Below are 11,792 nucleotides of genomic sequence, written 5' to 3'. Positions count from 1 at the left end.
TGTTTCTCTTTCTCCCTTTCTCTTTTTTCTTTTCTTTCAATTTTCTCAATTACTAAGAGATGTTTAAATACCCTTACCATGTGGGTAGATATGGTTATTTCTCCCTTTAGTTCTCTTTTGAGATTTATAGTCACTCTAAGTAAAGAGATAACCCAAACATAAGCCTCACAAACAGGCTTCCATACCATTCTTAATTTGGTCCTGTCATTCCTCATTGCTGTATTAACTTTCTGATGCTTTTAAGGATGTTTGATAACAAATTGTTTCGTTTTTTCCAATGGAATGTTTATTCTGAATTATCTAATTCATATTGTAAGTATATAGGGAGTTTAAAATTACTAAACTAACATTTTTGAAAGAATGTATTTGGGCATTTAACAAATATGTTAATCCTTAAACTGTTATTGGGCATACAGCAATAAAAATAACATAATTTTTATGTGTACAATATTTATGGAATACGTTACTGGAACAAATGAATAATTTAGATAATAACATGACAAAGAACAGAAATTGTATACACTATAGAGCATAGTAATAGAATAATGAATGATTAAAATTATTAATATCAGGTAGAAAATGAAAGGTATCTTTGAGAGCAGAACTCAAGGAAGAAAGCAATTCGCCTTATGAGGAAAGAGTTACCTGTGGATAAAGGAGAAACTGAAAAATTTACAAGTCAAGACTTTTTGAGCAAAAACAAAAATATGACTATTACTCAACAATTCAGTATAGTGAAAAAAAAGTTGAGATATCTTGAAAGTAAACCATGTTGTGGAAGAACATGTAGGGTTTTGATAATCATGGAATTATTCTGAATTAATTTTAAATGCGATAGGAATATATGAGATAATTTCACCAGAGAATAACATGATTGTGTTTGCATTTCAAAGGGGTGTATCTGTTGCACTGTGTAGAATAAATAGGTTATGTGAGCAAATAAATTGGGAGGCTATTGTAATCCAGAGAAAAAAGGTAGTGACTTAGGTAAGAATGCTGTTAGTATGAGTGGTATTAGTTGTGAGTAGTCTTTAGGCCATGGATGTATTTCATAGGACTGGCCAAGAGAACTGCAGCTAAATTGGAGTGTAGGGAGTGAAATGGAGAACTCAAAGATGACTCTCAGCACTGGAAGGTGACAGCTGTCACTGAAGCATGCTGATGCCTCTTATTAAGAGAGTTACTTGGGAATGGCAAGATCAAAACTTCTCACTTTCAAATTTATGAAAAATATTGTTTTCAGAACGAATGACTTTGGGATCAGAAAGCCATCATTCTAATTGATGGTTCCACAACTACACAGGCTCACACTCCCAAGAGCAAAAGTAAATCATCACAAAGATGCTTCCTGATAATTCTAGAGAATGGAGAATTACTGTAACATCTTTCTGATTTTAGGAGAGGTAGCAGTTCCCTTTTTAGCCTAAGCGCTATTTTTTTTAAAGCTCGGCCAAGAGACCCCATTATAATTTTCAAATGTGTGTAACTTAAATTCTCATATTAAATACCACTATGCTTAAATTAGTCAAAACATTTTCCCCATCTACAACTCTATCTTTTCACTGCAATCATTTTCACAAAAGTGACTGCAGCTAACAGACCCTAATAGGGGAAAATCCAGGGTAGGTTATCTGATCTAGTTAGTTTTGAAGACAGGATTTAGAGATTATTTAATATGAAATAGGTCACCTGAAATGAAATGTTTACTGAAAACAGCTTGGATCAGCCCAGTTTTCTACCACTGAACCATGCACTTGGTTTAAAAAACACAACAACTCTGGGGAATATTGGCTGCTTCCAACTGCGTTGATGGTGTTAAAGAAAAGACCATAAAATTATAAATGATCATCTGAGGCATTTATAGTCTCTGCTCAAGAGACTAGAGTCTTCTATTCTTAATGAAACACCCAAATATCTTAATAATTGGGCAAAATGTAAATATCAGAGAGATAATTTTATCTTGAAGTTTGTTAAATTATAATGGTGATTCACTACCTTGCCACGTCTCTGAGTCAAAAATTAGATCTTTGTTTAGGAACCAATGGTACTCTGCAACTTGGAAATAGGAAGATTTTAGAAGACTCAAAGATTGACTTTCTTGTGTGCAAAAAAAAGACGTATTGAGATAAGACAAGTCTTTCCTTGCAAGGATACCTCTAATGCTCATACACCACCTCTCCTAACGTTAATATAGTTTCCAGATCACTAACCAGCGTCAAAGAGCAACCCATGCAACTACAAATTCAAAAGATGTCGAACACAGGGTCAAGCCTAGAATAAGAAGTCTTAGCTAATTAAGTATGCTTGTCCCCCCAAATTCATAAAACTTGGATATGTCAGAGAATGCATTCTAAGTTCACTCAAACTAGGAGGGAGAAACATAATTTTAAATTAAGAGCTGAAGCATTGTTGTCCTAACAAAAAGCAAGGAAAATGAAATATCACACCACAGGAGGGATTTCACAAATTAGTGTCAACATCGAAACCTTAAAATAGGCAAGGAAAATGCAGATTCACAATTAATTCTTCTACTCATTTTGTTCAGAGAAGAGATGGTTCTGAGAGAATGACAGTGAATTAACCCCAGCTGATTTAGTTGGTGCTTTCAATCGCTGCTTCTGATAAACTCCTTTAGCTAGAATAAATTGATGAGGATTTTGGCATGTAGTATTAGAGATACTTATTTTTTCCTCTTATTTGCTTTGTTCAATGTAGTAAATACTAGCTGTATATGGCTACTTAAACTCAAATTAATTACAATGAAATATACTTAAATATTGAATTTTTTAGTCACTGTTGGTTCATTATTGAATACCTTCTGCTAAGATTTCCCATCTAAATACACTAAGAGGTGGCTTAGTTAACTGGTCGTCCACAAATATTGACGCTGTTGTTAACTCCTGATATATTCTCTGCAAATAGAATATTCATGAGCCTCCTCCTGAAACCAGCAGCCTAAAGATAATTGTATAAATTGGATACAAGTTGGAAATCTATACTTTTTAAGTTTTTGAAATATTAGCTTCCCAGGGAAGAAAATCAAATTCATAAGATATGTTAGGACAATTTAACTCAAGATGTTCAAAACTGAAATGACATATTCTACAATATGTGACAAAACCACCCCCTAACAACTTAAAGCAAAACAGAGATTGACCGTAGAGACCTGCCTTTTCCTCATCCCCCAGCCAATCAGTTTTCAAATCTTGCATTTTATTTCGAAAGGTCCTTATCCCCCTAGTCTCTTGTTTCTAGACTTGGCACATATTTGTTACCTCTATCTACTGACTTTCCTCTCTTCAAACAGTATCTATGCCTGCCAAATGTGAACATACAAAAAACAAATCAGAATGTGCCATTCTGATTTAAACTGCTTATTAGTTAATACCCTCAAGATAACATCTGGGTTCTTAGCTGCACTCAGTGAAGCCTACTTACATCTTTTTTGGTTTTCGGCTGCACTTTTCCTATCACATCACACAGCAGCAATGCCAAGCTGTGCAGGCCTTCTACCCCATTTCCACTATTTTGCCCCCGCCGCCGCGGCTTTTTCCCTCCGCTGCCGCAGGTTTTTTTGGTTTTTTGCCCCTGCTCCCTTTTGCTCCCGCCTCCGCGGTTTTTTGCCTCCGCCTCCTAGGCTTTTTGCCACCATGGCTTTTTGCCCCCACAGCCGCTGCTTTTTGCCGCTAGGGCTTTTTGCTCCCGCCGCCGCTGCTTTTTGCAGCTTTTTGTCCCCGCCGCCGCTTCTTTTTGCAGCTTTTTGCCCCCGCCACCGCTGCTTTTTGCAGCTTTTTGCCCCCGCCGCCGCAGATTTTTGTGGTTTTTTGCCCCTGTCCCGCTGCCTTTTGCCCCCGCCGCCGCGGCTTTTCCCCCCCGCTTCCGCGGCTTTTTCCCCCCGCTTCCGCGGATTTTTGCCCCCGCCGCCGAGGCTTTTTTCCGTTGTGGCATTTTGCCTCCGCCGCCGCTGCTTTTTGCAGCTTTTTGCCCCCTCCGCTGCTTTTTGCATTTTTTGCGCCCGCCGCCACGGCTTTTTGCCCCCCTCCACCATGGGTTTTGCCGACGCGGCTTTCGACCCCCACCGCCGGGGCTTTTTGTCCGCGCCTCCGGGGCTTTTTGCCGCCGCGGGTTTTTGCCGCCGCGGCCATGGCTTTTTCCCCCGACACCGCGGTTTTTTGCCCCCCTCTCCGCGGTTTTTTGCACCCCCCCACCCCCCGCCGCCGAGGCTTTTTGCCGCCTTGGGTTTTTGCTGCTTTCTGCCCCTGCTGCCGCGGCTTTTTCCCCCGCAGCCGCGGTTTTTTGCGGCTTTTTGCCCCCGCCGCGGCTTTTTGCGCCCGCCGCCGCGGGTTTTGCTGACGCGGCTTTTTAACCCCCCGCCGCGGCTTTTTGCGCCTACCCCCGCGGGTTTTTGCTCCCTGCCGCCGTGGCTTTTTGCCCCTGCCGCTGCGGCTTTTTCCCCCGGTCGTGGCTTTTTGCCCCCGCCGCTGAGGCTTTTTGCCGCTGCGGCTTTTTGCCCCCGCCGCCGCTGCTTTTTGCGGCTTTTTCCCCCCGCCGCCGCGGCTTTTTGCGGCTTTTTGACCTCGCCACCGCGGCTTTTTGCCCCTCCACCGTAGCTTTTTCCCCCGACGCCGTGGCTTTTTGCCCCGGCCTCGGCGGTTTTTTGCCCCCTACGCCGAGGCTTTTTCCCCGCCGTGGCTTTTTCCCCCCGCCGCCGCGGCTTTTTGTGGGTTTGTTTTTTTTTGCCGCCGCGGCTTTTTGCCCCGCCGCCGCCGCTTTTTGCCGCCGCGGCTTTTTACCCCCGCCGCCGAGGATTTTTGCCCCCGCCGCCGCGGCTCTGAGGGCGGGAGCGGCACACTCGGCTGCCAGCTCCACTGGCGTTCTGGCAAGGGCAGCGCGGAGGGGCGCTCCTGGTCCAGCTCTCCCTGCTCGGGAGTGTATGAATGCTTTGTGTTCTGACAAAGAGACTGTAGCTCCCATGTCCTACCTGCTTGGTTGCATTGCCAGTGCCCACGGTAGGCCATTTTATCCACGTTTTTATGTTTTATTTTGTTTTGTTTTGTTTTTTTCTTTTCAGGAGAGTTAGTCCAAGACCAATAACTCCATAACTGGTAGAATTGGAAGACTTTAATAGTGCATAACATTTTGTACATAGTTTTATAACAGTTTTCTTTTTCTTTTTTTCTGATTCTTTTCAATATACCCCATCATGATTGAACTCAAAGTCATTGCTTGTTTAAAATCTACAACTGCTGACGTTTTGTAACCTTCGCATTCCAGGTAATTGGTTTTTTGTGCATTTTCTGTATTTTTCTCCATCAGTCTACCTAGATATTTGTTAGATTTAATATTTTAATATTTTTCTGAAAAAGTGAGCTTTTGCATTTTTAAATATATACTCAGTTGCTTTAATTCTGCTATTTCATGTACTATTTCCTCCTTTTTTTTTTTTTTTTTTTGACACGGAGTCTTGCTCTGTCGCCCAAGCTGGGTGCAGTCCCGTGATCTCTACTCACTGCAACTTCCACCCCCAACGTTCAAGCAATTCTCCTACCTCAGCCTCCCGAGTAGCTGGGATTCCAGGTGCATGCCGCCATGCCAGGCTAATTTTTGTATATTTAGTAGAGAGTGGGTTTCACCATGTTGGACCAGGCTGGTCTCGAACTCCTGACCTCAGGTGATCCACCTGCCTCGGCCTCCCAAAATGCTGGGATTACAGGCATGAACCATGGCGCCTGGCTATCTCCTTCATTCTTTATGTTTATTTTACTGGTTTTATCTCTCTCTCTCTCTCTCACTGTTTCTCTCCTTCTCACATTCACTTTGCAGTTGTCAAATAGCCCAGGTGATGTTACAGATTTACTCCTTATAAAAGGAGGCATTACACATTACACATGCATCTTAGTGGCCTTACAAAAGTGTTTGGTTCATTTGTATTGACTATTCACCTTTAAAATATTTCAATATTCATTAAAATAGCTTCCAACCAATATTATTAGGCTTATGTTTCTATCTTTTTTGTATTGATATCTACCTTCATTGCTGTTTGTTTAGGAGATATATTCTATGTCACGTTATTTGCGTGAAAATTGTTTGAATTTGTGGTATGGTCTAGAAAATGTTAATTTTTGTAAGTATTCTGTATGAACATGAAAATAACATGAATTATAATATTCATGTTCCTTATATAACATTTGCCCTTTTTAAAATCCACTAGCTTCTTTTAAAACTTACTCTTTTAATTTTTTCTTTTATCTATTACTGAAAGATGTGTGTTTGAAATGTCTGTAATGATTTGGGGGCTTATCCATTTCTACTTTCTGATATTTTTGCTTTATATAATTTGACTCTCGAAATACGTGTGTGTGTGTGAGAGAGAGAGTGTGTGGTGTGTGTGTATATATGTATATATGTATCAGGCTAATGCACATTTAAGTCATCACATCTTAATAACTTAAAACTTTTATCACACTGGTTAGACTAACTTATTTTAATAAATGTTTCTAACTTACATTCTATTTTGTCTACATAGCAACTTTTTAAAAAATTATATTCATGTAGTATGTATGTATATCATATATACACAGTATCTGTATTGTTTGAATTTCAAAGTTTCTGTAAATTTATATATTAGTTGCCTCTCTTGTAACTATGATAGAGACGGATTTTTTTAATTTTGCCAATCTTTGTATTTTAACAGAAACATTGTCTACTTAGGTTTAAGTTAATCTTTGATCATTTATACTTAATTTGTTTTATTAATTTGTTGTATATATATATAAAATGCCTCATTTTCTCCTATCAGTTTCTGTCTTCTTGTTTTTAAATTATGACTTTTATTTTTATTGTTTTCATAGATACAACAGAGAAATGCATAATGTCCAGTGAATTTATTAAAGTTCCAAAGTCGGTCGCGCGCAGTGGCTCACGCCTGTAATCTCAACACTTCGGGAGGCCGAGGCGTGTGGATCACGAGGTCAGGAGCTGGAGACTAGCCTGACCAACATGGTGAAACCCCGTCTCTACTAAAAATACAAAAATTAGCCAGGCATGGTGGCACGTGGCTGTAATCCTCGCTACTCAGGAGGCTGAGGCAGGAGAATTGCTTGAACCTGGGAGGCAGAGGTTGCAGTGAGCCGAGATGGCGCCACGGCACTCCAGCCTGGGCGAAAGAGTGAGACTCCTTCTCAAAAAAAGAAAAAAAAAAAAGAGTTGCTAAGTCATACTCAACTTTCTGCTCTTGTCAGACAATTAAGGGGTCTTTGAATACTTCAGCCCTAATAATTTTCTTCCTAAGGTACACATTGCAGTGCTTATCTAATTTTAAATATCTTTTTGTTTCAACACCTGATTTTTTATTTAGATCTATCTGTATGTTTACAGTATATTTTGTTCTGTGTTCATTCTTTGATTTCAGAACTTCAACCTTTCTGAAGCATGTTTTCAGTTTCTCTTTAGTTTCTTTAGTGGAATTCTGCTGGTGGCATTTTGTTTTTTGTCTCTAAATATGTTATTTAGCCATAGGTTGATGAATATTTTTCTTGGTTGAGAATTTCAGAATGACATTATTATTCTTAACAAATAATATTGTTTATTTTACCTTTCATTCTTTCCTATTTCAATATGATTAAAGATAATTTGATTTTTCTAGTGCTAATTGAAATATTTTTCCCTTACTGATTCTTTACTATTTCTCTAGGAGATACATAGTTGTAGGTTTATCTCCATTGTAGCTTGCTTAGCATGCATGGAATTTTTGAATATGCAGATTAGTGTCTTACAAAAGTCTAGAGAACTTTCAGCCAAATTACCATCACATATTGTCCCTTCCCAGTTCCCTTCTTCTATAAGAACACTCACTAAACACATGCTACACTTTCTCACTGTATCTTCCATGTCTCTTCATGATTCAGTCTACATTTTGCATTTTTCAAAATTTTCTGTAATGCATTCTGAAATATTTATTAACTCCCACCATGGCCACGTCTAATCTGATGAGTTCATTTTTGAGTTTTTAATTTAAAATACTATTTTTTTATACAAACTACTTTTCAAATTTGCTACATCAATTTTTTAGTCTCCTAAAAATGTATTCTTTTTTAAAATTTTTTTTAAAGCAAATGTGCTTTATAATTTAACGGTGATATTTCTACTAATGAATCTTTGTGTATCTGTTTGTACTCTTTTTCTGTTTCCTTTCAAATGGTGGAATATCATTTCCTTGCGTACTTAGATGTCTTTGAATGACAAATATTTATTTTTCTCTGAAAATTATTTTTGTGCACTTCTGATGATTAGTAAGAAGAAAATTTGCCAAAGAGAATTTGAATTTTTTTGTAAGTCTACTAAGGGCACCACCATTCTGGGACCACATTATGTTAATTCTTGACCTAAAGGTGTTTGGATGTATGTTTGGACTGCACATTTAAACAATTTTTAAATTAATTGCTGTAAATCATTAACGATTGAGTTTCTTTAAATCTGTCCAATCTCAAGTCATTTTTATTTGCCATTTCCAGGGAATGTGAAATGGGACTAATTTACCTCTGATTCTTCTTTATACTGAGGATAGAAATTTTGGTCCTAGCTTTAGGGAGGAGCTCCTGTGTGATGCCGTATATTGGGAAAAACTATGTATTTCTTTACTGTCCTATGTGATGTATGACAGTAGGAATCTGCACTCATTCATTTTGGTACATGTCCGTAGGGCAAAATCAGTTTCGGTGTTTAGGAATATTTTGTCTGATGCCTGCATTCCCATGGTTTTGACCTTTTTTGTGTGAACATATCACTTTTTTCACAAATATCACTATTTGTGAACATTTTACTTTTTTTTGTGAACATACCAATGCTTCAGTTTTTTTTAGTAATCAACTATATTATGAGAAAGAGAAAAATTTTGATAAAACACAAATTTCATGTTTTCCTACTCTAATTGGCCTTTACATAAAAATACAGGTAAAATTTATTTGTGCTTTTTTGCTATTTCTGTTTTGCTATTCTCTGTTTGTCTATGTCTTCTCCACATAGACACAATTGGGGAATTTTGTACACTCTTGTGCCAACTGCTTTGATAGTAACAAAATGTATTTCTCGAACTGCTAGGTATAAAACTCAAGTATCCACAATTTAAATTCTTTTTCCCTCACTTCTACTATGTTTCCAGTCTCAATAGAAATCGAGCCAATCCAGAAATACAAGCATTATTCTAATACTTCTCACATTACAGATATAAATTTTCTAGATCTCCTTAAATACTATCATTTTTCACTACTTGTATCTTAACTGTTAAGTTCAACATTTTCTATAATATTAATATGTTGTGAAAATTTCCTTACTTTCTTATTTGTCCCAGGTTCAATGTTTTGCAGTCTCTACCTCACCTTGTGAAGCATAAACATTGTACATGCTGTACAAATAATACATAGTTCATGTGCTTAGAGATTGCACAATTTTTATTTGGTTGACAACAGCTAATGTTTTCTTCTTCATTTTCTACTTCCTGATTTTTCTTTATTTAGTATATACTACATTATCATAAAAATAAGAACGTTTTACAAACTAAAGCAAAAGCAACCCTAGGAATAAAATGCACAAATAAAATATATAAGCATACAATTATATGTACCATGTACCCTTCTAATTTATTTAGACATTTAATTTTAGTACAATTTTAATTAAAGTCTGTGTATTATCTGTCATTGTCTTAGTATTTTTTATATAACAAATTTTGTAAATCAAAAAGTCTCAATGTCATTATAAACTATCTTGGCAGAGGTTGATGTCCAAGGAATAATTTCTCTCCCAAATTATGCCAATCAGAATTTCACTCTACCATAATTCTTTTAATCAGTTTCAGAGGAATAATAAATTTCAAAATTGTTCAAGGTACTTGTAGTTCAAGTACATTTTGACAGGTGGAAAACTGTAGACAGACTGATGCAAACATATTCTAATTGACTCAAAAGTATATGGGACCTATTTTAAAATCTAGATTTTAAAATGTTGTGTCAACATACACATGTTCTCCTTGTAAAATAATTGCTTTTTATTCTCTGGATAGAATAATTTAATCTTTAAACCTTCAATTCACTGTTAAAAACAAAATATTACATAAGGATATGCTTATAAAAATAATTTGCAACTAGCTTTTGAATTCAGAAATATATGTGAAAAATCATCAAGCATCTAATGGATTTCAAGGAGAAATGGGTTAGTAATTTATTCCATATGTCTCTATTTTTCCTAGACACAAGGCTTCCTTTAAAATAACTGTAGGCATTTAAAAAACCATGTAAACTAAAAAGAAGAAATTGTGACACTGCCGCTTAGGTTGTTTAAATCTTTGGACATGAATCAGTATATTTTTTAATTTTATCTTAATTAGACATTGTGAGTTCACCATCTTCCTGTCAGTATAGCATCCAAGCTGATTATCATAGATTACAAGTTCAACTATCAACTGTGTTCTGAGAGTCTAAAAAAATAAATGAATGTATTTGTTTGGGTATTCTTAAAGCAGGAGTGAGGACACAGCAAAAGTGAGACAAGGAAGAGAGAACAAAATAAAACAGGAAAGATAGAAAAGCCAATACCACACGTGTTAAGAGGCAAGTTCCTGTGTATATATCTGGGCTTAATTCTATGGGAAGCTATGTGGAACATGCCTCAGAATTACATCACTGAATCCGGGGAGATTCTTCTTAGTTACCCTCACCTTTTCTTCCCACTTCATGCCCAGTAACAAGCTCCCGTTCTGCTAGAGAAAGTCCTCAGCTAGAAACAGGTGCAAATTCTGGAGATGAGATCTTGTAGAATGTTAAGAATGGTTTTCTTCACAGCAGCTACAGGTAAGGAATAGGGGCTGGGCTATTAATACATCTGCTACAAATCAATAAAGCCCTTATGCTCCTTTTGGTGATCGACAATGTATTTAAAAATATTAGATGATCAAGAAGGGCTGCAGAAAGGAGGAAACAGAAACAGCACACCTTTTGGTTTATTTTTATTCATTTCATCAGTTTCAAGGAAAATGTGTTGGGGATTCCTGCCATAGAGAATGTCACAAAGACATGTTTTCAATAGTGGTGTTGTCCCTAGGGCAGAGAAGACCCAGAGAAAGCCCAAGTGGCTGCTGGATCAAAGTCAGACACCGTGCCACCTGTCCACACTCCTTGGCTCTGCCATCATGCTGAAGATCGGTTTAAAGGACTGGCTTCCCTCCCCCCAAAATTAAAAGAGCACAAACTTAGAAACTGAATGTAGGAGACAGCAGTGGATTATGCTGTTCTCAGGGGTCACCTCAGGTTTGGAAGCATTCTTTCAAATTAACCCATCTCAGGCCATCTGCAGAGAAGAAAGGTGGTACCTAAATTTTTCTTGTCAGCATTTGGTAGGGGTGTTTTATTGACCAAATATGTTCCCACAACCTAGTTTTTTGTAACTAACTAAATATAGTAGATTTTTAAATTTTATCATCAAAATCTGTAGACAATTTTTGATTAAAATAGACTCCACATCTATGTCGTGCTTTTCTTCTTATTAATTACATTGCTGTATCAAAGAACAAGACTTCAGAATCAAGAATATCTTGTCTCTTGGCATTGAATTTATACAAGGTGCTCTTTAATGCTGTCTCAAAGGACATATTTTTACCCATTAAAAAGGAAGATTGGAATCTAGTTGTATGCACTGCTCCAACATATTAATAATTAAAATAGGAGGTAAATGTGGTTAAAGCTACCAAAACACTTGAGGTGCCATTTATATTGATTACTGTATAGCACTCTACAAACAGA

General features: G+C 37.4%; 1 long non-coding RNA gene across 2 annotated transcripts; it reads left to right on the top strand.

Moving 5' to 3' along the window:
* The first annotated feature begins 4,528 nt into the window (after positions 1-4,528).
* Positions 4,529-7,657, top strand: LOC102723842 (uncharacterized). Of its 2 annotated transcripts, XR_428160.4 has the most exons (3): positions 4,827-5,009; positions 5,220-5,274; positions 6,852-7,657. It is a non-coding gene; the product is annotated as an uncharacterized LOC102723842 (long non-coding RNA). The 2 variants fall into 2 exon arrangements; XR_007060638.1 differs by having other exon boundaries at positions 4,529-5,274.
* The last annotated feature ends 4,135 nt before the right edge of the window (positions 7,658-11,792 follow it).

Source organism: Homo sapiens, chromosome 7 (genome assembly GCF_000001405.40).
Source record: "Homo sapiens chromosome 7, GRCh38.p14 Primary Assembly".
NCBI lineage: Eukaryota > Metazoa > Chordata > Mammalia > Primates > Hominidae > Homo > Homo sapiens.
The sequence above is the reverse complement of the archived record's forward strand: the minus strand, read 5'-3'. Positions and strand labels throughout refer to the sequence as shown.